Below are 27868 nucleotides of genomic sequence, written 5' to 3'. Positions count from 1 at the left end.
GTAAATCTTTCCACTTGTATAACATATACAGATTTCTTCACTTTTTTTTTTTTTTTTTTTGAGACGGAGTCTCGTTCTTGTCACCCAGGCTGGAGTGCAATGGTGCGATCTCAGCTCACTGCAACCTCTCCCTCCTGGGTTCCAGCAATTCTCCTACCTCAGCCTCCCAAGTAGCTGAGATTACAGGCGTCCACCACCATGCCCGGCTAATTTTTGTATTTTTAGTAGAGACGGGGTTTCACCATGTTGGCCAGGCTGGTCTCGTACTCCTGACCTCAGGTGATCCACCCGCCTCGGCTTCCCAAAGTGCTGAGATTACAGGCGTGAGCCACCGTGCCTGGCCTCTTCACCTTTAAAATAATCTTACTCTATTATTCTGAAGGATATTTTCCCCCAATTAATATATCATGGACTCCTCTCCATCCAGGTCATTATAAGTAATATAATAGCTGCATAATGTGACATAATACAGATGTCTCACACTCCATTCAAGTACTTTCCTATTGCTGGACATTCAGGTTGTTTCGTATATGTGTGTGTGCGTGGGCCATCACAAGCAATACAGACTGGTGCATTTATTTCTGTGCCCACCTTTCCAAGGGGTGCTGCAGCCTGTGTTGGTCCTAAAGGTGGTCCTTTGTTTGTAGGTCAATGTGCGAAATGGAATGAGCTTGCATGACTGCCTTATGAAAGCACTCAAGGTGAGGGGCCTGCAACCAGAGTGCTGTGCAGTGTTCAGACTTCTCCACGAACACAAAGGGTAAGAGCTCAAAAGTCAATTGACTTCTTCAGACTAGTAAGGATCTTCTAGCTTCAAATAGCTATGTTTGTATTAAATTGTACTAGCTTCCTATAGAATATTGTATATTTCTATACCTTTCTTTATAAAGAGATAATTCAGAAAAATAGGTATTAAGAAATTGAAATTATTGCTTGGACATTCTCTTGAAAAGTTAAATACACGTTAAGCTGGGCCTGATGACCAATACCTGTAATTTTTTTTTCTTTTTGAGGTGGAGTCTTGCTCTGTCGCCCAGGCTGGAGTGCAGTGGCGCGATCTCGGCTCACCGCAAGCTCCGCCTCCCGGGTTCACGCCATTTTCCTGCCTCAGCCTCCGGAGTAGCTGGGACTACAGGCGCCCACCACCGCGCCCGGCTAATTTTTTGTATTTTTAGTAGAGACGGGGTTTCACCGTGTTAGCCAGGATGGTAATACCCGTAATTTTAACACTGGGAAACTGAGGCAAGAGGGTTGCTTGAGGCCAAGAGTTCAAGACCAGCCTGGGCACATAGCGAAGGCCCATCTCTACAAAAGATTTTTAAAAATTAGCCAGGCATGGTGGTGCGGCCCTGTAGTCCTAGCTGTTCGAAAGGCTGACGTGAGAATATTGCATGACCCCAGGGGCTTGAGGCTGCAGTGAGTCATGATTGTGCTACTGGACTCCAGCCTGGGCTGGAGCAAGATCCTGTCTATTAAAAAAAGCCAAAAAACAAAAAAACAAAAACAAACACATGTTAGGTATTGATAATGTTTCCATGGATGGAAACAGTGATGTTAGATGCTGTGTTTTTTTGAGACAAAGATTTTTCTTTGTGTTTACTCTAATGCATTATATAGACTGGGCACTCAGAAAGTGCATTATTTTATATAAAGAATGCTATCCTCGGGAGATTGACTTTTCTCATTCACTAATTTTTTTTTTTATTCAGTTAAATGTGTACTAATCCCTGCTGTTTGATAGATTGTTTAAAGATGCAGAAGCATTTCTGCTTCAGGGAAGATTCATGGTTTATCCTATTCCTAATGGTGGTGGCAAGATAGAGGCATCCCCTCAAAGGCTAGGAGTAATACCTCAAAGCAGCAGAGCTGTCCATAATTATCCATTATCCATTATTCCCTCCACCCCGAAAATATAGGGAAACCTTTAAAGGGTTCTTTTTTACCCTCTTCTTGGAAAGCGTCACTTATGTTATTCATCGTTAGCTTACATTTTTTCATGTTTCAAAGAGTTCTGCAGTTTGGGAGAATAGCCCAGGGAATGAATCTACTCGAAGGGGTGAGTGTAATTCTCAATTTAGGAGGCGTTTGTTGAAGTGCAAATCTTTGAAGCAGACGTTAACTTTTGCTGAAGGTAGCCCAGGTTGGGTCCCTAAGCCAATCCATAGTGTTCCTTAAGGACTAGAGAGATTCTGAGACAGGGAGGGCTTGGTCTACTCTCATCCAAGGCTGCACTGGTTTGGAGCTACTCTGGAGTCTCTAGGACAGACAGCAGATTGTCACTAGGATCAGTCTGCAGATTGATGAGAAAATAAGGCTTGTCCTCCTTCTCTTCATAAGGGCAAAATAGTCCTTTGGAGTTATAGGAAGTTTTCCAGGTGCTGTATAGGTAATTATATTAAGGAATGTATTGTTTACTGTTGGATAGTGAGAAAAATGGCTTGACTAGGCTTCTGGTAGATAATGGAGAGGCTTGAATGGTGCTATACATGTTATTTTCTCTTTACCTGAGAATATTCTTCCTTTGGAAAATGGGCCAGATTAACTGGATAAAACATAAGAAAGGAATTGGGCATTACTTTTTACTTATGTATCTATTTTTTGTCTTATTTATACTGTAGGCACAGAAAGTGTGGTTTCAGAGTAGATTTTAAGACAGTTAAGTTTCTCATTGACTTATAGACCCTACAACTACAGATTTGAGTCTGTTATTAATTAATAGAAAAGTACATTTTTCATTTGTGGTTCCTTTCTATTTATCTAGATTGAAATAGGCTACTGAAGACTAAATTTTGTACTGCAGCAATATTTATAATCCATTTTACAGGATTTGGGGATTTTTGTAAGATTTTAGTGTTACAAATTCCAATTTAACGTATATTGACTTTATTGTGAGATTTTATATATCATTGTTTAAAGAAAACTTTATTCTGGCCAGACATGGTGGTTCACACCTGTAATCCCAGCACTTTGGGAGGCTGAGGCAGGAGGACCGCTTGAGGCCAGGGATTCAAGACCAGCCTGGGCAACACAGCAAGACTCTCTCTCTACCAAAAAACATTTTTTTAAGTAAATAAAGAGAAAACTTTATTCTGAGAACATGGGCTTTGGAGTTCAACAGACCTAGATTCCAACATAGGCCCTTAAACTTGCTGTGTGGCCTTGAGCAAATTACCTTCTTAGAGTCCCAGTTTTCTTATTTTTCAGATAGAAATAATACCTACTTCATAGGTTTGTTGTATGAATTAAATAAATTATTGTTGTATGGATTAAATAAAGTTGTGTTTATATGGCATGTGATAAATGGTAGCTGTTGTTATTTCTATTGAACTTTGATCTTGTTTAAACATTTCATGTTTTTTTTAAATCCTTTCTAGTAAAAAAGCACGCTTAGATTGGAATACTGATGCTGCGTCTTTGATTGGAGAAGAACTTCAAGTAGATTTCCTGGATCATGTTCCCCTCACAACACACAACTTTGTAAGTTGCAGATCTCTTCTCTTTCTGGCATGTTGAGGGCTTTGCCAGGCATAACAGAGATTTCTCAGGTAATATGCGTATGTATATATATATATAGTTGGATTGTTTAAAGTTCTTTATGCTGTTGTTTACAGTAAGGCAATTTAGATTTCATTAGTCAGAGATATACTCTAATTTGTGATTATGAATTCTGTACATGCTGGAAGTATGATTCATTTTGTAAAAACTTTTTTGGAGGCCAAGAAATGAAGTTGTCTTTTGTCATCTTTTATTTATTCAGCATAATTTACACCTGTGTTCTTGTTGTAGGCTCGGAAGACGTTCCTGAAGCTTGCCTTCTGTGACATCTGTCAGAAATTCCTGCTCAATGGATTTCGATGTCAGACTTGTGGCTACAAATTTCATGAGCACTGTAGCACCAAAGTACCTACTATGTGTGTGGACTGGAGTAACATCAGACAACTCTTGTAAGGCATTGTTCTTTTATCCAAGGAAGATAGGGATGAGGAGTATACATACTTTAAAGGGTATTTGTTGTAGATTTTGACTGACAGGTCTGGATTCTAGACTCATTTAATGAATTGTGATCCAGAAACTACTTTAGAAACAGTGATAATTCTGAAACTAGCTAGGTTTGGTGGCATTCATACTCCAGAATGAGCAGGTAGGAGTAGGACTTGTTATCTGTCAAATTGAGATTGACATACTGTGACTGTGATTCAGTAAGGAAAGGAGCAAAAGGATATGAAAACAAGAAGATTTTTTGCTTTTCGCTCTTAATAGTATTATCTACTGGGGTTGCTAGTAGACACTGCTCTGTATTTTGTTGAATATGCTGAATGAGCCTTTGACATTGAGAAGGAGCAGAAAGCACCGTTGATGCTATTTTCTTCACTTCAAACTGGAGAAAACTTAGTTGTTTGGACTTAAAATTGTTTGAATATAAAATCTTGAAAGATTCTTGTTTCTTTCAGGAGACAATATATTTCATATAGATAAAATGTTATTAAAGAATTTAAAGTTTACATTAAAAGTACATGGTCCAAACTGCCTTTTAAAAACTGTAACTAGGTATATGAAAAGTTTAAAAGTTTTGTCCTTTTTTGACAGTACTAGAGAAACCAAGGGAGTGTTATTATTAGACCATGATGAAAATGTTTTTGCTTTCATGGTCACTTACGTATTGATTTTGTGATGAGAGCTTGAGTAGCACAAATGGCACAAGCTTTTAAAATTTATCTTATTTTTGTCCCCCACCCTTTTTTTTTTTTTTTTTTTTTTTTGGAGACAAGTCTCTTTCTGTCATTAGGCTGGAGTACAGTGGCATGATCTCGGCTCACTGCAACCTCTGCCTCCCAGGTTCAAGTGATTCTCCTGCCTCAGCCTCCCGAGTAGCTCAGACTACAGGCACACACCACCACGCCCAGCTAATTTTTGTAGTTTTAGTAGAGATGAGGTTTCACCATCTTGGCCAGGATGGTCTCGATCTCTTGACCTCATGATCTGCCCACCTCGGCCTCCCAAAGTGCTGGGATTACAGGCATGAGCCACCACGCCCAGCCTTTTTTTTTATTATTATTTTTTAAAGACAGGGTCTCGCTCTGTCTCCCACAGTGGAGTGCAGTGGCATGATCACAGCTCACTGTAGCCTCGACCTCTCGGGTTCAAGTAATCCTCCTACCTCAGCCTCCTGAGTAGCTGGGACTACAAGTGTATGCCATCATGCCTAGCTAATTTTTGTATTTTTTCTAGAGACGGGGTTTCAGCATGTTGCCCAGGCTGGTCTCGAACTCCTGAGCTCAAGCAATCTGTCCGCCTTGGCCTTCCAAAGTGTTGTGGTTACAGGTGTGAGCCACCGCATCCGGCGGCACAAGCTTTTGAGTCTAACAGACATATGTCAAAATCTCAGTGTTGTCATTAACCATAACCACATCTGAGTTTTCGTTCATGCATCTGAATAAAGGGGATATTACCTTCCTTGCATTGTTCTTATGAGGCTTGCTGACATAACCTGTGAAATTACTAAGCACAAGTGCCCACCTCATGGAAAAAAGGTGCCTAATTACTCACTTTTCTGTGATTTATTCCTTCTATTTTAGTCTTTTATCTATGCATTTTCAAGATGGAATGTTTCCAGAGAAGCTGTGTGTGACATAGTTTGTGAAATGTTATACTGTAGTTTGAAAAATATTATTTTGATATAGCTAGACACAGGACCAGTATTTCCTAGAAATGCACACTGGGCCGGGCGCGGTGGCTCACGCCTGTAATCCCAGCACTTTGGGAGGCCAAGGCAGGTGAATCACCTGAGGTCAGGAGTTCGAGACCAGCCTGGCCAACATAGTGAAACCCCGTCTCTGCTAAAAATACAAAAATTGGGGGAAGGGATAGCATTAGGAGAGACACCTAATGTTAAATGACAAGTTACTGGGTGCAGCACACCAACATGGCACATGTATACCTATGTAACAAACCTGCATGTTGTGCACATGTACCCTAAAACTTAAAGTATAATTAAAAAAAAAATACGAAAATTAGCTGGGCATGGTGGTGTGTGCCTGTAATCCCAGCTACTTGGGAGGCTGAGGCAGGAGAACCCGGGAGGTGGAGGTTGCAGTGAGCCGCCATTACACCTCTGCACTCCAGCCTGGGCAACAGAGTGAGACTCCATCTTAAAAAAAAAGAAAAAGAAAAAGCACACAGGAGCCTGTATGTTTATTGGCAGGTCAGTATTATTCACATTCAATAATCATTCAAATCCAGTTATTTGGAATATTGTTCCCTTTATTCTAGGTAATGTAAAACAGTTGAGGAAAATGTGACTGGGAAAAGTTCAGTTTTAGTAGCTCTGAGTTTGCAAAAGCAAGGCATGCTGATTGTCTCTGTAAGATTACTGCAAGCCTAAAAACCAGTCTTTCCCTGCTTTTGTTTAGATTGTTTCCAAATTCCACTATTGGTGATAGTGGAGTCCCAGCACTACCTTCTTTGACTATGCGTCGTATGCGAGAGTCTGTTTCCAGGATGCCTGTTAGGTAATTTTTTACCTATAGCTTTTCTTTTAGAAAGTTATTTGGGGTGGTGGGGTTGGAAGCTTGAAGACAAAAAATAAGAGTTTCTTCGCATTCCCTCCTCTCTACGTGGAAACCCCTTGCTGCTTCTGTGGAACTTGATACTGGTGGTACAGAAAAGGTAGAAATTTCTGTTTATGGACCTGTAGGTCTTACATTCTGGAAAGTGACTTTGACTGTAGCTTCTTCTGTTATCATAGCATATTTCTTAATATGTCATTACATTTTAAAGAGCTTGAGATTCTGCTTTCCTCAGTATGTACTGAGTTCAACCTCAATGGAAAGGGTCCTAAAACTTAATACAGTGATTTGATAAAAATAAAACCCTTAACTTTGAAATGCATGTTGTGGCCGATGCATTTGCTAAAACCATGTATTTAAATAGACTAGTGTCTTTAAAAACATTTAATTAGATTTTCAGCATAAATATTGTTTCTCATGTGTCTCTGAGTTTGCATATAACTTGTCTTTCTTTACTCTGTTTTCCAGCTTTATAATCAGTTTTGTTGCGTTTATCTACTGCTCAGTGTTAACACACATGAATTTGAAACCTAAAGTAAAATCTACATCCAAAATATCTTACTTTAGGCCAGGCACGGTAGCTCACACCTGTAATCCCAGCACTTTGGGAGGCCGAGGCAGATGGACCACTTGAGGTCAGGAGTTCCAGACTAGCCTGGCCAACATGGTGAAACCCCATCTCTACTAAAAATACAAAAAACTGGGTGGGTGTGGTGATATGTGCCTTTTGGCCCAGGTACTTGGGAGGCTGAAGCAGGAGAATCTTGAACGTGGTAGGCAGTGAGCTGAGATGGCACCACTGCACTCCAGCCTTGGTGACAGAGCAAGACTCTGTCTCCAAAAAAAAATATATTATGTATACACACACACACACACACACACACACACACACATAATGTGTAATCAGATAATGTTTAATGTGAAAATACTATGGAAATATTAAACGCAGCATATCTTAGAATAAGGAATTTGCATATATCTGGATATATATTTCTGTATGGCTTTTATTTTTCTTGATAATTTGAAAAGCAAATCTGACCAAGAATTTGTAGTTACCTCTGAAGATTAGAAGAAACCAGGCCTCTGAAGCCATAAAACAGAGGATTATGTGGGAAGGCATTTTTTTCAAGACAATAGAACAATTTCCCTTAGAAAAGCTGGCCTTTTTCCCTTTAATTCATACATGGGTGTTACCTGAATCTGAACAAACCTCGAACGAATCTTTAGAGCAAATAATGAAAATGTTATACCTCTTAATGCATGTTCCCAGTTTGGTTGGTGGGGGTTGGTGGTGACTGGAAGAGGCCAGTGGTTAATTTCACATTTAGGTATTTCCATCTAAAAACTGAATTCCCATTTATTTACTTTGTTTGCTGGTTGTAGCAGGTAAGGACAAACAGAGGGTAAAATCCTGGCCTTTTTACAGACATGCTCAGCACGTCTACTTATCTGTTTAAATAAATTCTCAAATTTAGTCTCTAAACTGGGCGTGTTCCAACTAGCTTAATAGGTGGTAGCGTGGTTGTCAAATGTTAATCTGTTCTTTCCTGGAGATGTTGTAAAAATTTGGAGTAGAGTGGTGCTTTATTTAAAAAAAGAAAACTTATAATGCACTCTCCTTTTCATTGAATTCCCAATACATATATTATTTCCTGTTCCAAATTTTGTATGCAAAAGCACCTAGACTTAAGATAATTTTTAGATGTCACACATTTGAAAGAATCAAACATTTTGTCAAAGGTTGTACAGGTAGAGTTTGCCCTTAAGCATCTTACTTAGTCAAATATGTACTTGAAAGACTTCACCAGTATGAAAGCCTAAGTGCCAATCATGGAATTTTCTTTCTCCTCCTAGTTCTCAGCACAGATATTCTACACCTCACGCCTTCACCTTTAACACCTCCAGTCCCTCATCTGAAGGTTCCCTCTCCCAGAGGCAGAGGTCGACATCCACACCTAATGTCCACATGGTCAGCACCACCCTGCCTGTGGACAGCAGGATGATTGAGGTAATAGGGCACCTTGGGGGTGGTAATGTCAGTCAATTAATGGGGTGAGGTTGATACTTATTTCAGAGTTTTGGGTTTCAAATCTGATCAAGGAATGTTGCAACACTTTCTCAGGTCTCTGGACTTTTACAGTTTATTTTATATCCATAATATCTTCAGACTGGCTGAATAGTCTGGTTAGTATATCATTCAACTGGAGAACTAAAACTTCCTGAAAAAATGTTAACATTTGAACTCTTCCCATTATCAGATTTGAATAGGCTATTAATGAACAAGTGTCTAAGATATTTAAAGAGCAGTTTAGTTTTGGTGTGGGACAGAAATTAACAGTGATGGAGAACTACAGATTCTCTGGAAGACTTTTGTGATTTTATTTAGAAATAAAAGGGTGGAGTCCTAGGACTTTAATAAGCAGGTGTTTGGGGAGATGTCAAAGTGCCCAAAGCTAGTGTTTTTGAACTGCTTTTTCTTCTCTTGGCTTTTTGGTTATGTCCTATTGGTTTAATTTGCTTTCTGCTTCATCTTTAATAACAACTGAATACACTTAAATACTTCCTTTGTTCTTTATTCTTCTTTATTTCTCATTGCTTTGGACTAGAATAACAACCTGAGTGCTTCTCCCAGGGCGTGGTCCAGACGATTTTGTTTGAGGGGAAGAGTAGGTATTTTTCTTCATGCCTTTGCTTTCTTGTAATTAACAGGATTGCTAAAACTGTCAGACAGCAGACTACCAAAAATGAAATAGTTGCTAAGTTAAATTTATATTTCTTGTCACTTGTTTCCATGTTTTCTTTTTCTTTCTTTCTTTTTAAAATTTTTTTTGGCAGTAGAGTATATAGAAGTAAAAAAAATGTTGTATGTGGTATTGATGATAGGTGAAATGAATTTCTGAAGTTAGGCCAGGCATGACGGTGTATGTCTGTTGTCCCAGCTACTCCAGAGGCTAAGGCAGGAGGATCACTGGAGCCCAGAAGTTCTAGGCTGTAGGGAGCTACAATTGTGCCTGTGAATAGCCATTGCACTCCAACTGGGGCAACATAATAAGAATCCACCTTAAAAACAAACAAAAAATGTTAAGTTAGATTTTGAGGCCAAGGGCATTAAAAAGTTTTTTTTTTAAATCAATTCCAACCAAAGGCTAATGTTAGACTTACTTAGTTGGTGCTCACAGCATTGGTATTCTGTTTATACATTAGTAACCAAATGTGTTTTTGGTTGATAAACCCTAGAATAAATATTCTTTATTGAAAGCTTATCAGAGACAACTATGCTCTCTCTCATCATGTAGACACCTGCTGCCTTAGGCACAGTTTATCTCATTCAGACCTCAAATCACTTTCAACATAATTGTCCTGCCACTATTGTGAGGAGATCATGTATAAGCTATAAATTTTATTATTTTGACTTTATCATTATGATTAGTCCTGATAATACAATAATATACCAGTTACTGCTACTTCTATTAAATGGTTTGTTCCTGTATGAACACTGTAATACTTACAGGGAACAGTAAAGGTCAGAATTGGCTGGGTGGGAAGATCACTTGCGACCAGGAGTTCAAGACCTACCTGGGCTATATGTAGCAAAACCCCACCTCTACAAAAAAAAATGTAAAAATTAGCTGGGCTTGGTGGTGTGCACCTGCAGTCCTAGTTACTCAGGAGGCTTGGGCAGGAGGATTACTTGAGCCCAGGAGTTTGAGGTTGTAGTGAGCTGTGTATGATTGTGTCAAGTAAGAATTTTTGAGTTTTTATTATAAAAGAATTAGCACAATTGTTGTGCCTAATCATTTTTTACTTTAGAAGCAGGGTAAATTTTGATTCCTGTTAATTTAATCACATATAAGTCAGCATTTTTAAAGTAGACTAATTGTTGCTTTATTCAAATTATTTGTGGGTCTCAAATTATTCATAGTTCTCTTGAGTATTTAGACTCCAGGAACAATAGGAAAATTCTTTCTAGAATAAATTGATCCAACTATAGAAATTAGCACAGAATAAAATATGGGATATTTAATTGATACAGGGAAGAAAATTACCATAACATTAAGGAAAATATTCTGCTACATAGGAATATAATTGTGGTTAATAAAAATAAATTGTGCTTTGCTTTAAAAACAAAGAACAGCTTAGTTGGATAATGAAATTACAGCTGCCGATTTCTATTGAAATCCACATTATTTTTTGCCAGTGTTTTGCCCACCTGGCAGTTATCCTGCTGTACTTAAAAACACACATTCCTGGACTTCTCACATTCCCCTCCAAAACATGCTCAGTCAATCGTGGGTCGGGGATTAGGGGTGGATCTTCATTCTTCTTTCCAGAGTCAGAATCACTCTCCAGGTAATTCTGAAGACTAGCTAGTTTTGGGAACCAGAACTAGGCTTTCTTGTTAAATTCCGAATTATGTTTTGGGAGCAGGGGAACAGCTTGGTTTGATTCTTTTTATCTAATTATATAATTAGATATATAATTTTATCTTTTTATATAATTGAGTGGGAGCATTCTAGTAATAGTTGTGTGGAACAAGTATCTTGTCTATACTGTAGTTACACAAAGAGAATATAGTAGGACTTCCCCCCAAAAAATGTCCTTTTTTAGGATATGGGGGCCAAGTGGTTTTATATTATTCTATTATACTGTTCTATTCCAAGCGATGAATTTTAGATTGGGGTTTAGGTCTCATAGAGCCCTCTGCAATTTAAACTATTTTCCAAACAGTTTCTAATAAATTCTAAAGATAGCCTTTGCTTTCTCCCATGAGGAGAATGTAACCGATTTCCAAATTTACCCATAAGGCAGTGTTTTGTGGTGAAAGAGCTGAGGGCTGAGATCCATATATGATGGTTTCTGGTTCTATTTCTGCCACCTACTGGTTCTGCCAAGTGACCCTGCCAAGTCTCTCTACCTGTTCAGATGTGTTTTCTTATATGTAAAATGTAGGTTTTGAACTTGGATTTGTGGTCTTTCCAGCTTTCTGTGATTTTAGGCTTGGATAAAGTATATAGGCTGCTTACCTTTTTCAAATCCAACTTCTAGTCAATTTAGCCTAACTCCTTGTGGAGTAAGAGTGAGCTTCCCCCAGAATCCACCTCCCCACCCTGGCTTTTTAAAAAAAGTTTTGAGCCTCAGTGGAACAAGAATCCCAATCTTTGGAAGGGTCTCAGCTGAGAGTAACTTTGCTAGCTTCCCTTGAAAGAGTATGTTTGTTGTGTACATTGCTTTCTTTTGAGAAAAAGAATGTGGTTTTCATTATATATGAAAAACTAATACCAGGCTTGGCACGGTGGCTCACGCCTGTAATCCCAGCACTTTGGGAGGCCGAGGCGAGAGGATCACCTCAGGTCAGGAGTTCAAGACGAGCCTGGCCAACATGGCGAAGCCCTGTCTCTACTAAAAATGCAAAAATTAGCCGGGCGTGCTGGTGCACACCTGTAATCCCAGCTACTCGGGAGACTGAGGCAGGAGAATTGCTTGAACCTGGGAGGTGGAATATTAAATCCTTCTAATATTTAATGAAAAATCAGCCTTGGAGATACTGGCCACTGATATTTGCTGAATTTAATCAAGGAACGTTGATTAGAGTATGTTTAGGATTTCTATGGTTTTTAGAGGTTTTTATAATCTATTTTGTTCTTGCACATCCTCCTCCTCTTTTTTCCCTCCCCCAGAGAAAATCTTTTGTGTGTAGGAGTTGACCAGCTTTCCTTTTCTGTTTCAGGATGCAATTCGAAGTCACAGCGAATCAGGTACTTTTCCATAGTCATTTAGCCAACAATAATGGGCTTTTTTTCTTTATGCGGTGTATCTTCTGTTGGCTTATCCTTGTGTGGCTTCTGTTTGTCTTGTCTATTAAGCCTCACCTTCAGCCCTGTCCAGTAGCCCCAACAATCTGAGCCCAACAGGCTGGTCACAGCCGAAAACCCCCGTGCCAGCACAAAGAGAGCGGGCACCAGTATCTGGGACCCAGGAGAAAAACAAAATTGTGAGTATAGACAACAGTACCTCCTGCCAATTAGGGTTCAGTAAGAAAAACCTCGTTGGAAATTAGAATACTTAAACTTATTTTGGGAGAAGATTCTAATAAAATACATTCAATGAAGGAGATTATAAATGTTACTGTCATTTTTGGCACACTTGCATCAGACAGTTTGCCAGTGCTATAACTAAAATGGTATTTCTCAAAAGACAAAAATTGGAAGTATGGTTAATATGTTTATCTTTAAAAGATATGGAAACAGATGACATGGGTTGATCCTTTGATGCCCTCATTATCAAAAGATTATTACCATTGCATGGAGTATAATAATGATCTCTACTTGTTTCAGAGGCCTCGTGGACAGAGAGATTCAAGCTATTATTGGGAAATAGAAGCCAGTGAAGTGATGCTGTCCACTCGGATTGGGTCAGGCTCTTTTGGAACTGTTTATAAGGGTAAATGGCACGGTAAGCTTGGGGCCCTCCCTTTACTAACTGCAGGGCTTTGGTGTGAAGTCAAGTTTCAGCCCAGGGGGCCAGGAGGAGGAGAGGACTGAGTGCTCCTGGGCTTATAGCAGTACTCTCCCTTACATACTTGATTATACCTGAAGATTGAACTTAATTCTTTTTAGACTAAGTTCTTATAAAGCTCCCAGGATAATTAGAAATTAGTGAATAAGACTTGAGCCCTATAATCAAATGTCAGGAGTACTTCTCCTTTAAACTGATTAAATACAGTCTGCACATGGGTCATGCTTGGAAGCTCCTTAAGTGAGCAAGAGTCTGCTGCTATGGAGGGAGCATGGGTTCTAGAAACTTTAAGCTGGAAAGGACCTTAGAGATTGAAATGGGGACTGATTTGCCCATGGTCATGCAGTTAGGCATAGGAAAGCTGGAAATCTCCTGAAGTAACTTCTCTTTGTCCTGCCCTAGGATTAGCTGTGGGTGTCCCTATCAAACAGGGAAGGCATTGACTTAATTCTTGAATCTATGTGGAATATTAATGTTCTGATTTTAATGGAAACACTTTGTCACTTGGAAGAAAGGTACTATTTAACTTATGTAGTTACAGCTTGTGTATTTTGGCAACACTGAACATTTTGGCAACATACTTAGCATTTCTCTGTTAGGTTTTTAATGCCTCTGGCTTTAGGACTTTGGGAAATAATAGGTATTTCCTTGAAAATGCTGCATGTTCCCAAAAAGTCATCTCTTCTAAATTCAGATTACAATAAAGCAAAAATCACAGAGTCCCTTGGTGCCTATACTACTTTGGATGACACTGGAATTATCTTTAGAGATAAATGTGCAAAGATTGAGAGAAGTTAAAAGCATCAAATGAATGGAGTATTAAAATTCAAGGTACTGAAAATATCAAACACCTCCAGTTTTGAGTACTTGGTGGTTTTTTTTTTTTTTTTTTTTTTTTTTTTGAGATAGATTCTTGCTCTGTTGCCCAGGCTGGAGTACAGTGGCACAATCACAGCTCACTGCAGCCTCCAACTCTTGGGCTCAAACAGTCCTCCTGCCTAAGCCTCCCAAGTAGCTGGGACCACAGGTGAATGCCCAGCTAATTTGTTTTACCTTTTGTAGAGACAAGGTCTCACTATGTTGCCCAGGCTGGTCTCCAACTCCTGGACTCAAGCAGTCCTCTTGGGTCTCTCAAAATGCTGGGATTACAGGCATGAGCCACTGTGCCCAGCCTTACCATGTGCTCGTTAATGCATGGTTTTTACCACTTGTAATTAATCATCTGACCAATTTCTAGTTCCTTAAGAGGATTGGCACCCGACTGAACATTTGTAAAGTACATGTGGAATGATTCCTTTTCCTTTGAAAATTGCATCTGGCTGGGCAGGGTGGCTCACGCCTGTCATCCCAGCACTTTGGGAGGCTGAGGCAGGCAGAACACTTGAGCCTAGGAGTTCAAGAACAGCTTGGGCAACATCGTGAAACCCCATCTCTACCAAAAATTAGGTAGATGTGATGGCACTCGCCTGTAGTCCCAGCTACTTGGAAGGCTGAGGCAGGAAGATTGCTTGAGCTCAGGAGGCGAATGTTGTAGTGAGCTCAATACAGTGAGTACACACTACTGTACTCCAGCCTGGGTGAAAGGGCAAGACCCTGTCTCAGAAAAAAAAAAAAAAAGGAAAAGAAAATTGCATCTAGTATGTACTACTGGGCTGTCTCCTGGGTCCCAGAGAAATGATACTGTTGTAGAATATTTATTTATATGTATTTAGAGACAAGATCTGGCTCTGTTGCCCAGGCTGGAGTAGTGGCACAATCTTGGCTTACTGCAGTCTCTGCCTCCTGGGCTCAAGCTAGCCATCCTCCTGCCTCAGCCTCCCAAGTAGCTAGGACTACAGGCACATGCCACCACACCCGGCTAATTTTTGTATTTTTTGTAGAGATGGGGTTTCGCCATGTTTCCTAGACTGGTCTCGAAATCATGAGCTCAAGCGATCCGCCTGCCTCGGCCTCCCAAAGTACTGGGATTGCAGGTGTGAGCCACTGTGCTCAGCCAGTTGCAGAATATTTTAGATGGCATAAATATCTCCAGGATTCCTTAGGAAAGAACACAAGCACTTTGTGGGATAGAGCACTTGTGTCTGAGATAACAAGGCTGCTAGTAGTTGTAGGAGGCAGAGCAATGGATATTGCATTTATTGCTTCTGTTAGCATTAGAACATTTTTATATCACATTTTAAAAGCCCCAGCTAAAAGCCAGCGGATGAAGTTTTAAGTTGTACCCAAGTTTAATTTTCCTCTGGTTGCGCACTTTCATTTGGGGATTCATAATTTTTCAAGGCATTGGTACGTGGTACTGCTTCTGAGCTTTGTCTTCTCTCAATAGAGTGAGCTTTCAAACTGTGATAAAGATTATTTGTTACAGTGTTACTTCCATAAAGACTGCTATTAGAATGGAGATAACTTGTTTTTAAGATTCTAGGTTTTTTAGGCCAGGTGCGGTGGCTCACGCCTGTAATCCCAGCACTTTGGGAGGCCGAGGTGGGTGGATCACGAGGTCAGTAGATTGAGACCATCCTGGCTAACACGGTGAAACCCCGTCTCTACTAAAAATACAACAAATTAGCCGGGCGTGGGGGTGGGCGCCTGTAGTCCCAGCTACTTTGGAGGCTGAGGCAGGAGAATGGCGTGAACCCGGGAGGCAGAGCTTACAGTGAGCCGAGATCGTGCCACTCCACTTCAGCCTGGGTGACAGAGCGAGACTCCGTCTCAAAAAAAAAAAAAGATTCTAGGTTTTTTAAGTCAGAAAGTCTCAAAAGTCAGAGGAGTGAGGAGCAGTGGACTTTTATGCCATGCTTTCAGAAAGCAAGCTCTGGTCTATGAATGAAGAAGAAAAATGAGTGGTCCAGGAAACATAACTTCTAGATTGTTTTGTGCAATACTTTTTTCCGCCATATTCTGGTTCCTGTATACAGTATATCTGTTCAGTATCTTAAAAATTACAACTGTTTTCATGATTTTGATTGAAGATTTTTTTAACTCAGCCCACCCACTTATGGAAGTAAAGCAGAAAGGGTCTCAAAGCAACTCAGAAGCCTCAGGTGCATGATTTAAAACTCAACATATTTATTTAAAGCAGCATCTGTCAGGCCCAAAGCTCACAACCTCCTTTTGGGCATTAAATTTGGCATCAAGGCTGGGTGCGGTGGCTCATGCCTGTAATCCCAGCACTTTGGGAGGCCAAGGCAGGGAGATCATTTGAGGTCAGGAGTTCAAGACCAGCCTGACCGACATGGTGAAACCCTGTCTCCACTAAAAATAAAAAAATTAGCCGGGTGTGATGGCATGCGCCTGTAATCCCAGCTACTTAGGAGGCTAAGGCAGGAGAATTGCTTGAACCCAGGAGGCGAGGTTGCAGTGAGCCAAGATCATACCACAGCACTCCAGCCTGGGCGACAGAACGAGACTCTATCTCAAAAAAAAAAAAAAAAAAGAAAGAAAAATTCTTTCTATAGGCCAGGTGTGGTGGTTCACACCTGTAATCCCTAGCACTTTGGGAGGCTGAGTTGGGAGGATCACTTTAGCCCAGGAGATCGAGACCAGCCTGGACAACATAGTGAGACCCTGTCTCTACTTAAAACACAATTAGCTGACCATGGTGCTGTGTGTCTGTTGTCCCCGCTACTCGAGAAACTGAGGCAGGAGGATCACTTGAGCCTGGGAGATAGAGGCTGCAGTGAGCCGTGATAACACCACTGCACTCCAGCCTGGGCAACAGAACAAGACCCTGTGTCCAAAAAAAAAAAAAGAAACTTAAGGAGTTTATATTCTAGTGGAGACAGTAAACAGGAAAAGTAGAATATATAGTATGCTGTAATTGCTAAGGAGAAAAATGGAGGAAAGGAGATATGGAGTGGCAGTCCCAGTTCAATGTTTTTAATAGGTTGGTCAGGGAGGAATCTGCCAAGAAAGTGGCATTTGCATGGAGGGCGAGGGTGGGTGGTGCAGATATCTAGGGAAGCAGTAACATCAAGTGCAAAGTGGACCACTCACCTGGCCTGCTCCGAGAACTCAAGGAGATCTTATGGCTTCATTTAGAGTGAGTGAGAGGTATACTAATAGGAGTGAGGTCCAGTGGTAGGGTGTTTTAGGGTCCTGTAAAGACTATCATTTGGGTTAAATGGGATCTGGGGTTGTACGAGACCTTTAGGAGGTTTGGCAAGCCTTTGTTTGAAAATGAGTGTGATGAGAGAGCTCATTATCTGTCTGAGAGCCCATTCTAACTCCAGGTAGTTCCTACTAGTAGAAAATAGTTTGATTGGGTGCAGTGGCCCACATCTATAACCCCAACACTTTAGGAGGCTGAGGTGGGAGAATCACTTGAAGTCAGGAATTTGAGACCAGCCTGGGCAACATGAGACCCTTGTCTCTACAAAAAATTTTAAAAATTAGGTGGGCGTGGTGATGCACACCTGTATTGTAGTCCCAGTTACTTGGGAGGCTGAGGTGGGAGGATCCCTTGAGCCCAGGAGTTTGAGGCTGCAGTGAGCCGTGATGGTGCTGCTGCACTCCAGCCTCGGTGACAGAGCAAGAGCCAGAGTGGGGCGAGGGGAGGGCATGGAATAGTTCTTTATTAGAGTTGAAATCCGTTTTCCTATAATGTTTGCTCATTGATCCTAGCAGACTGAATGAATCCCTTTCATGGCAGTCCTTGGGTTATTTATATGTAAATGAGGGGAATGCTGCAGTATAGAACATTCCTTCTGGATTTCATAAGAAATTGCAAATAATCTGTTACCATAACTGTGTTAACGAGAGCTGGCTGGCAGATGGATCCCTGCAAGTACCATGGGCACTGTCTTTGGTTGACCCTGTTCAGTCTTCCCATCAGTGACTTAATCAGAGGTGTGATATGTATTTGCATAGTAGTGAGGATTTAGAAAAGCGAGAAGAGTTCAACTGGCTAGGATGATGGAAAAAAGAAAAGATCACCTTTTAACAGAGATAAGTCATATTCATTGTTCCAAAAAGTAGAACTGGAGGGGGAAGATGTGGCTTAATGATAACGTGTGTGGAAACTGCCAAGGAAGTTCAGCCGACTGCAAGGTCAGAGTAAGTCACTGCGTGGGCTTGGCTCTGAATTCTGAGGTTATATTACTGATTAGGGCCAGAACAGGTGACACCAAAGGGTGGGTTCAGTGACAACTAGAGCATGCCCAGAGGAGAGCTATAAGAAAGGGAATGGACTACAAAACGAGGTCCATGAAATAGGAAGGTCCTTAGAAGCAGTTCCCCCTGAGCGATCATCCAGCATCTCCCAAGCCACATGCCTGAACCCCTAGCCCTGTCCTGTCCCCTCCCGTTAAAGGCTCTGCCCTTTTCTGGGTCCTGGAGCCTGGGTCATAGCGTTGGCCATTTTCCCAGCACTTCCACTCAGTTGACTGCCTCATTGGGTCAGTTTACCTTCACAGGATTTCTTACCTTCATCCCTTCTTTCTGAGTCCCCACAGTCAACCATTCTTCTTGTACCTTTCCTGAGCTATTGCAGCAGATTCCTCTCTGGTCTCCCTCTTTCTCTCCTACAGGTGTCCAAATCCTACCCTAGAGTTTACTAAACACAGCTCAGGTTTCTCTCATCCCCCTCACCTCACCTTTATTTCTGATGTGCCCAGTCTGAAACATTCTCTGTCCTATTTACTAAAATCCTTCCCTTGGTTTATAGCCCATTTCCTTCAGAAAACCTTTCTGTATTCTCTTTGAAAAGAGATTTACTTAGGCACCTGTAGTCCCAGCTGCTTGGAAGGCTGAGGTTGGAAGATTGCTTGAGCCCAGGAGTTTGAGGCCAGCCTGGGCAACATAGTGAGGCCCCATCTCTAAAAAAGAAAAAAAAAAAAAAAAAAAGGATTTACTCCCCCATCTTGGGGAACTCCCCTTCTGTTCCAGCACTCCTGTCTTGGCTCCAACTGTACCAGAATGGACACTTATGCAAATGATTGTTGTCCTCCTACTCAGGGCTGGTTATACACGTTTCCCATATGGTGTCCCATATGGATCCATTTTTCTAGATAGAAGGTAGCTCCAAACATAGTGTGGATCTCTCCCATCCAGTCAACAGCACCTTCACCGGCAGCCCATGGCAAACACATGTGCAGGTTAACTGGATGAGAGCCACTTTGGAGGCTGCTGTTAAAACATGGGGACTCGTTGAAACTTTAGATGATAAAACCAGAGATCACAGGGAGACAGTTTGGGCCTATCGTGAGGACCATCTCTCTACCAATTTTCTTCCCAAAAATGAAATGGGGAGGGCTGGGTGGGGTGGCTTACGCTTGTAATCCCAGCACTCCAGGAGGCCGAGGCAGGCAGATCATTTGAGGTCAGGAGTTTGAGACCAGCCTGGGCAACATGGTGAAACCCCATCTCCACCCAAAAATACAAAAATTAGTTGGGCATGGTGGAGCATGCCTGTAATCCCAGCTACTCGGGAGGCTGAGGCAGGAGAATCGCTTGCGGAGGTTGCAGTGAGCCAAGATTGTGCCACTGCATTCCAGCCTAGGTAACAGAGCGAGTCTCCATCTCAAAAAAAAAAAAAGGAAGGAGGAAGGCTCCAACAGAGAGGCTCCAGAAACACTTTTGAAAGTGGCTTTTGGCCAGGCACGGTGGCTCATACCTGTAATCCCAGCACTTTGGGAGGCCGAGGTGGGAGGCCTCACAAGGTCAGGAGATCGAGACCATCCTGGCTAACATGGTGAAACCCCGTCTCTACTAAAAACACACACAAAAAATTAGCCAGACGTGGTGGCGGGTGCCTGTAGTCCCAGCTACTCGGGAGGCTGAGGCAGGAGAATGGCGTGAACCTGGGAGGTGGAGCTTGCAGTGAGCCCAGATCACACCACTGCACTCCAGCCTGGGTGACTGAGCGAGACTCTGTCTCAAAAAAAAAAAAAAAAAAAAAAGTGGCTTTTAAATTTATAGCACTCTAAAGTGGAATGGATCCCTGGATGTGTCTAAAGTTATATCAAGAGGCTGGTTTTACAGTGCTTGACAATCAGTTGTCAGTGTTATAGGTAGAATAGCAATTGGAGTCAGACTGGGGTTTTGATCCTGGCTGCAGCGTTCTTTGTTTTTTGGCTGTATGACCTTGGGCAAGTGACTAAACTTCTCAGCTTGTTGTCTGTGAAGATAAATTATTTACGTCAGAGGGCAGCTGTGAGGATTAACAGAGATAAAAGTATACACAGTGCCAGGATTCAGTATTATTAGAATTACTTTTTAATGGTATTGAAGGCAGAGAAGCTTAATTTCAATATATATCTCTGAATTTTTACTAGGGACCATCTTAGGTCTCACTGAAATGTGGATTCAGAGTTCAGCCTCAATAGTTGCTAAATGGCCTGCTTCCTTACACCAGCAACCAGCCCCAGTCATTCTGTATTTGCCAGGCCATTCATATGTATGCACTGATTTCATCCCCACAGGACAAGGTTTTGACCTGTCACACATGACCTCACCTCTGTGGCTTGCCAGGGTTGGTGTGAATAGTTTAACCAAGGCTATCGAAGGCCTAACTGTAGCGATAGCAGTTAACCTATGTAACTTTTTTGAGTCATTTGAATTATGTAGAGATTGGACCTATAATCCCAGCACTTTGGGAGGCCAAGGTGGGAGGATTGCTTAAGCCCTGGAGGTCAAGGCTGCAATGTGCCACTGCACTCTAGCCTAGACAACAGAGTGAGACCCTGTCTCAAAAAAAAAAAAAAAATTGGAAATTTGCCGTATCTGTGTAGGTATGTGATTCTTTGGATAAATGATTCACTGTATCTTCCTCAAAACTAGGTTATTTGAAAGACTGAGATCATTCAACTGATTGCACTGACTGCCAACTAATTTTGCAGGAGATGTTGCAGTAAAGATCCTAAAGGTTGTCGACCCAACCCCAGAGCAATTCCAGGCCTTCAGGAATGAGGTGGCTGTTCTGCGGTGAGTAGAAAGCTGGCGGTCCAGTCCCTCTGGAGTGCTGGAGTGGGGAGTACAAGGACTGTAGAGTTAGTGGACTGTGCCGCAGGTTGGGACGGGCAGGCAGTTAGGACTCACTGTGGAGTTTCTGTGGTTGGATGCTCCTCCCTTGAGAGCAAAGGGATGTTTCCTTTAGTTTATGTGGTTGTCAAGCCTTTCGAAGAGCCCCTTTTTAGGAGAATACCCTCCTCTGGGCACAGTAAACTCAATAGCCCAATTTCTGTCTCTGGGTTTTGGTTTGAGGTGGGCAGAAATAGGCCCTATTTTTACCTTTATTTCCCAGAACCCTTTTTTTTATAGCTGAGTTGCCTTATTTTAGACTTCAGAACAGTCAGCTTTCCAATCTTTCAGTCACTATTTAGACTTGTAGGAATAAGTCATATAATGGAGACTTCTACAAGGAGTCCTTGTGACCTCCACAGGAGGGTCATGGAGTGTACATTGATGAAAGAGAATGTCCTCTCTGTAAGCAAGGCTGGCACTGAACTGATGGCCCAGTGAACTAATGGTGGGCTTCTCTTTGCTCAGAATGCCACCCGGGTTATCAGCCGTGCCATGTGTTTGTTTTTGGGACTGGGGGTGGTGTTGGGACTGGGGGTGGTGTCGACAGCACAGAACCCACTGTCCACGGGAAAGCACAGTAGACCTCCCTGAGCACTTTCCTCCTCCCTCTCCTCTCTTCCCCTCCCCTCCCCAGCAAAACACGGCATGTGAACATTCTGCTTTTCATGGGGTACATGACAAAGGACAACCTGGCAATTGTGACCCAGTGGTGCGAGGGCAGCAGCCTCTACAAACACCTGCATGTCCAGGAGACCAAGTTTCAGATGTTCCAGCTAATTGACATTGCCCGGCAGACGGCTCAGGGAATGGAGTGAGTAGATGGTCTGATGCCTCTCTGGGACCCAGGCATCAAATTTGTCCCTAAATTGGAACCAGGATCAGGAAAAGCCTTCTAGTCCATTAAGCGATTCTGTGATATCTTTGCACAAGCCTCTGGCCTGGGCTGGAGGGGCCAATTATCAGGAATGAGTTGTTCAGGTTCCAGCTGGGTGGGGTGGCTCACACCTGTAATCCCAGCACTTTGGGAGGCCAAGGCCAGTGGATCACTTGAGGCCAGTAGTTTTGAGACCAGCCTTGCCAATATGGCAAAACCCTGTTTCTACTGAAAATACAAGAATGAACCAAGTCTGGTGGCACATGCCTATAATCCCAGCTACTCAAGAACTGGGACAGGGAGAATCGCTTGAACATTGGAAAGCAGAGGTTGCGGGGAGCTTAGATCACGTTACTGCACTCCAACCTTGGCTGCAGAAGCGAGACTCTGTCTCAAAAAAAAAAAAAGAGAAGTTCAGGTTCCTCCTTGGGACTGAACTTCCCCCTTGGGGCTCAGCTTTGGGCTCTGCCTGCTACCCTGGCTTTATCAGAAACCTGAGAATATAGTGGGGTGCATGTACCTTCTGCTTGGACAGCTGTGGCAATGCCTTCTGCTCAGCTGTCTGAGGCATGGCTGTCCCACATGAGGGTTTAAGCAGATGTTGTTTTTGGGATAATTTTTTTTTTTTAATTAAAAACTTTTTCCTGGCCAGGCACGGTGGCTCATGCCCATAATCCCAGCACTTTGGGAGGCTGAGGCGGGTGGATGACGAGGCCAGGAGTTCGAAACCAGCCTGGCCAATGTGGTGAAATCTCATCTCTACTAAAAATACAAAAATTAGCTGGTTGTGGTGGCAGGCGCTTGTAATCCCAGCTACTCGGGAGGCTGAGGCAGAAGAATCACTTCAACCCGGGAGGCGGAGGTTGCAGTGAGTGGAGATTGTGCCATTGCACTCTAGCCTGGGTGACAGAGCCAGACTCCATCTGAAAAAAAAAAAAAAACCCAAAAAAACCACACTTTTTTCCTTAGAGACACAGGTTCTCACTCTGTCACCTATGCTAGAGTGCAGCGGCGCAATCATAGCTCACTGCATCCTTGAACTCCTGGGCTCCAGCTATCCTCTTGGCTCAGTCTCATAGGTTGCTGGGACTGCAGGCACATGCTACCGTGCCCAGCTAATTTTCGTGTATTTTGTAGAGTCGGAGGTCTCACTATGTTGCCCAGGCTGGTCTCAAACTGGACTCAAGTGATCCTCCCACCTTTCCTGGCTAGCCTAGGGTAGTGCTTCTCAAACTTCTCCTCTGAAGTAGAGGAGCTCCTCGTACCCCTAGACATCTGGGAGTTACTAAGCTATAGCTGTGCTTGCAAGTCCTACATAAATTCTCACACTGTCTTTAAAATTCATATGGAAGTTGCCTTCTGTGTATTTTAAGAAATGGAATGACTTTTCAGAAAAATTGAGATATAATTCATACATCATAAAATTCCCCCTTTTAAAATGTACACCTACCTCAGTGTTTTTCTGGTATTGAGTTGTGCAGCCACCACCACTATCTAATTTTAGAACATTTTCATTATCCCGGAAAGAAACACATGCCCATTGTATTAGTCTGTTTGGGTTGCTCTAAAGGAAGACCTAAGGGTGGGTAATTTATAAAGAAAAGAGGTTTATTTGACTCGGGGTTCTGCAGACTGTACAAAAAGCATGACACCAGCATCTGTGTCTGGTGAGGCCCTCAGGAAGCTTTCACTCATGGCAGAAGGCAAGGGGAGCCACGTGTGATGTGGTGAGAGAAAGGAGCAAGAGAGAGAGCATGGAGGGAGGTCCCAGACTCTTTAATAACCAGGTTTCATGTGAGCTAATAGTGTGTGAACTCACTCGTTACTGCAGGGAGGCCACCGAGCCGTTTGTGAGGAATCCATCCCCATGACCCAAACACCTGCCACTTAGGTCCCACCTCCAACACTGGGGATCACATTTCAACTTGAGATTTGGAGTGGACAGATATCCAAACAATATACCCATTAGAGGTTACCCAATACCTCCCACCCACTTGCAGTCTACTTTCTGTTTCTATGGATTTTGCCTACTTTATAGTTCAATATAAATGGAATCATGTAAGATATAATATAGTCAGGTAACATATAATGATGTTTCGGTCAATGACCACATATAGGAAGGTGGTCCCACAAGATTATAATACTGTATTTTTACTGTGCCTTTTCTATGTTTGGCTATGTTTAGAGACACAAATACTCACCATGTTACAACCAGCTACAGTATTCAGTACACTGAGGGCCATACAGTTTTGTAGCCTAAGTGCAACACGTTATACCATTTAGCCAGGGTGTGTAGAAGGCTGTACCTTCTTGGTTTGTGTGAATACACTTTATGATGTGTGCATGATGACAAGTTGGCTAACAACACATTTCTCAGAAGGTATCCCTGCCGTTAAGTGATGCTTGGCTGTATATAATACATAAGATATGGTATTGTGTGCCTGGGCTCTTAGACCTAGCATAGTATTTTCAAGGTTAATGTGTAGCATGAGTCACTACTTCATTCCTTTCTGTGTCTGAGTAACATTCCATTGTATGGATATGCCACATTATTCATTCATCATTTATGGACATTGGGTTATCAGAATTACTTTAGAGTAAAACTGATGCTTGAAGAAGTGTCAGCAATGGTCAGGCGCCAGGGGCCCATGCCTGTAATCCAAGCATTTTGGAGGCCAACATGGGAGGATCACTTGAGCCCAGGAGTCAAGACCAGCTTGGGCAACAGTGCAAGACCCTGTATCTACCCAAAAAAAAAAAAAAAAAAAAAAAGGCGGCATGGTGGCACATGCCTGTGGTCCCGGCTACTGGGAGGTGGGAGGATCACTTGAGCCCAGGAGGTTAAGGCTGCAGTAAGCTATTGACTGCACTCCAGTCTCCAAAAAAAAAAAAAAAAAGGTGTAAGCATGTTTGTGCTGTGGCCTCACCTTCAGGTAAGCAGTGATGTGAACCAGGCTGAACAGCACAGGGTCTATCCCTGTGTGTAACACTCCTTGGAGCCAGGCCTTCAGTGGCTTTACTTCTTAGCTGTAGTTTAAAACTGCTTTCTACTCATGCCCCTCAAACTTATTTTTAATAATTTCTTTTCCCTTCACAGCTATTTGCATGCAAAGAACATCATCCATAGAGACATGAAATCCAACAGTATCCTTTGGTTGTTGAGTTCATTTGACTGCTCGGTTCTAAATTTAGGGAAACAGAAGGGAGGCTTTCTATCACAAGTGGCTCTCGGTGCCAGGGGATATCTTTTTAAGGAAAGAGGCAGAGGACAGGAAAACAGAAAAGTCAGAAAATTAGTAGGCTTGGCCTGTCCCTCAGCAGCTTATGCCTCACCTGGACTGATGAGAGCGATGTTTAGGTTAGGTTCCTTTCTGAGTTTATCTCAGCAAAAGTGATTTGGAGAGATTTCCGTAAGCTTGAAATAGGCATAATTTTATCACACTATTAGTAAATGTAACCTGACGGGGATTGGGCTTTTGTCTTAAGTTTATTTCTAGTTTGTGGCCAGCGTGTGTATGTCTATCTGCTTGTTATGTGGATAGCAAGTAGCTACAAGCCAAATGTTGAAAGGTTTCCAAAATCACTAATTAAAATAGTCTTTCTTGACTGGGCGTGATGGCTCACACCTATAATCCCAGCACTTTGGGAGGCTGAGGCAGGTGGATCACTTGAGGCTAGGAGTTTGAGACTTGCCTGGCCAATGTGGTGAAACCCCATCTCTAAATTTAAAAATTAGCTGAGTGTGGTGGCACGTACCTATAATCCCAGCTACTCAGGAGGCTGAGGCACGAGAATTGCTTGAACCTGGGAGGCAGAGGTTGCAGTGAGCTGAGATCACGCCACTGCACTCCAGCCTTGGGGACAGAGCAAGGCTGTGTCTCAAAAAAATAAATAAATAAAATGGTCTTTCTCAAAGGTACATAAGTGGGTTCTTCAGAAGTCACTATTAGAAGAGGAGAGGGGTTGTTTTTATAGAAGAGTAAATGAAGAAAGGTATTTTTAATGCTGTGAGGCGTGAAATTTAACAATTTTGAATCTGCCACCCTCCACGAGCCTTTCCTTGTGAAAGAAAGATGGCATTACAACCCACGTTTTGCCTCTTGAGCAGTGAGAGGCATGATAGTTGTGTTGGATTATGGGACATGGCCTATTTTAGGTACATGTCTGAGGTGTGGAACACCTTTCAGTGGTGGGGTTTTTAGCAGCCAAACATTATACCATGAAAGCAGACACCACAGATTTAAGGAGGTGTGAATTCCTGGGCACCAACATCACAAGTTACTTTGTGTGTGTTTTGTTTTTTAATTTTTTGTTCTTTTTTAATTTTTTTTTCCTCACAAGTTTGACTTAAACTGTATGACTTCTTTACCCAGAAGCGAGCCGACTTCAGTTCTCATTTTGAAGTCACTGAGTGGTACCGATTCTAGTGAGGAATTTCTTACTACAACATTGAACACTCAGTAAGGGATTTGCTATTTTGTTAACCACTCAAGTTTCAGATGGTGATTTGAGGGCAGAATACAGGCAGAAACGACTGTAAGCTGTCAGGCCATCCTTGGCCCTCTGGGGAGCACTGGAGTGTGGCCTCTGCTCATCCTGTTAGGGTTTCAAGTACCTGTATTATGTGGAAAGGTCACAAGGCCAGAGACCCAGCACCTAGATGTGCAAATGGGGAGAAGAAGCAGGGAAGAAACGCTGGCTTGCTTTTGGCTAGGGCCAAATAATCTGGCACATTGACCAATCCCTGCCTGTCTTCTGGAAGAAGGTGCATTTCAAAAGCACTTTAAAGAACTTCAGAAACCTTAGGAAGTTCAGTGCAGAGAGGCTGTGACAGAGGTAAGGTGGAGAGATTACCGTGTTATAAAGAACTTTGGGATATTTTTCAAAATTAACCTGACCATTCTTTTGAAACCAGAGTCCTTAACAAGCATTGAGATATATTTCTCCATGAAGGCTTAACAGTGAAAATTGGAGATTTTGGTTTGGCAACAGTAAAGTCACGCTGGAGTGGTTCTCAGCAGGTTGAACAACCTACTGGCTCTGTCCTCTGGATGGTGAGAATCTGGGCTCCCACCAGCAGTCTCTGGTATAGGGCAAAAGGAATGCCTTGGAGATTTATGTGCAAACTTAAAGCGTTTCTGTACATTTCCCCGAAATCCACATGACCCCTAGTGACAGCCAGCCTCAGGGCAATTGTAGATTTTCTTGAGGAAGCTGTTGATCAGAACCACTGTGAAGCTTAGTGTGGAGAGGAGTTAATAAGCTGGGTGACAGAAATGCTGGGTCTTGGTCCTTTAAAGACAAGGATTCCTGAGCTGTTTTAACCAGTGCCTGAGTTGGAGTCCTTTGGGGGAAAAGCTATGTGGGGACTGAAGAATGGACTCATTCATAACTAATGAAAGGGACAGCCTGGCCCCTAGATGTCTGTGAGGCCTGTCATATGGTGATAAATGCACTTTTGTCATATGGTGATACATGTAGGCCCCAGAGGTGATCCGAATGCAGGATAACAACCCATTCAGTTTCCAGTCGGATGTCTACTCCTATGGCATCGTATTGTATGAACTGATGACGGGGGAGCTTCCTTATTCTCACATCAACAACCGAGATCAGGTAAGTCTGTGCTGGTGCGAAAGGACCCAACTCGTGGGAGCCCCTGGGCCTCCGCCAGCCTAAGCAGCTAGAGGGTTAGGACTTGTTATTATCTGTTGTTCATTCACCCCCCATTAGCTCAGCTGTTTTCTTTCCCTTAGATCATCTTCATGGTGGGCCGAGGATATGCCTCCCCAGATCTTAGTAAGCTATATAAGAACTGCCCCAAAGCAATGAAGAGGCTGGTAGCTGACTGTGTGAAGAAAGTAAAGGAAGAGAGGCCTCTTTTTCCCCAGGTAAG

At 42.4% G+C, this 27868-nt stretch overlaps 1 protein-coding gene across 16 annotated transcripts in view, besides 1 other annotated feature; it reads left to right on the top strand.

Annotated features, from left to right (window-relative positions):
- The window catches only part of RAF1 (Raf-1 proto-oncogene, serine/threonine kinase), an 80517-nt gene that overhangs the window by 51408 nt on the left and 1241 nt on the right, over positions 1–27868 (top strand). For 5 of the 16 annotated variants that reach the window (NM_002880.4, XM_011533974.3, NM_001354690.3 and 2 more), the window contains 14 exons: positions 648–760; positions 3375–3477; positions 3787–3944; positions 6411–6509; positions 8421–8574; positions 12295–12322; positions 12431–12558; positions 12902–13019; positions 20918–21002; positions 21736–21912; positions 25073–25119; positions 26911–27029; positions 27457–27588; positions 27729–27863. In NM_002880.4, coding sequence (NP_002871.1) covers positions 648–760; positions 3375–3477; positions 3787–3944; positions 6411–6509; positions 8421–8574; positions 12295–12322; positions 12431–12558; positions 12902–13019; positions 20918–21002; positions 21736–21912; positions 25073–25119; positions 26911–27029; positions 27457–27588; positions 27729–27863 — 1596 coding nt within the window. Of the gene's footprint in view, positions 1–647; positions 761–3374; positions 3478–3786; positions 3945–6410; positions 6510–8420; positions 8575–9172; positions 9233–12294; positions 12323–12430; positions 12559–12901; positions 13020–13484; positions 13598–20858; positions 21003–21735; positions 21913–25072; positions 25120–26910; positions 27030–27456; positions 27589–27728; positions 27864–27868 lie in introns of all 16 variants that reach the window. The other 11 variants (NM_001354693.3, XM_047448651.1, XM_017006966.1 and 8 more) reach the window with 8 other exon arrangements.
- Positions 23234–23434: a silencer, noted in NCBI's record as "peak4543 fragment used in MPRA reporter construct". NCBI's record gives its function as "represses an SCP1 promoter by STARR-seq MPRAs in K562 erythroleukemia cells {active_cell/tissue: K562}" and the evidence as "EXISTENCE:reporter gene assay evidence [ECO:0000049][PMID:32103011]".

This window comes from Homo sapiens, chromosome 3, assembly GCF_000001405.40.
Source record: "Homo sapiens chromosome 3, GRCh38.p14 Primary Assembly".
NCBI classification, from domain to species: Eukaryota; Metazoa; Chordata; class Mammalia; order Primates; family Hominidae; genus Homo; species Homo sapiens.
Note: the sequence above shows the minus strand (reverse complement) of the source record. Positions and strands in the feature narration are given on the sequence as shown.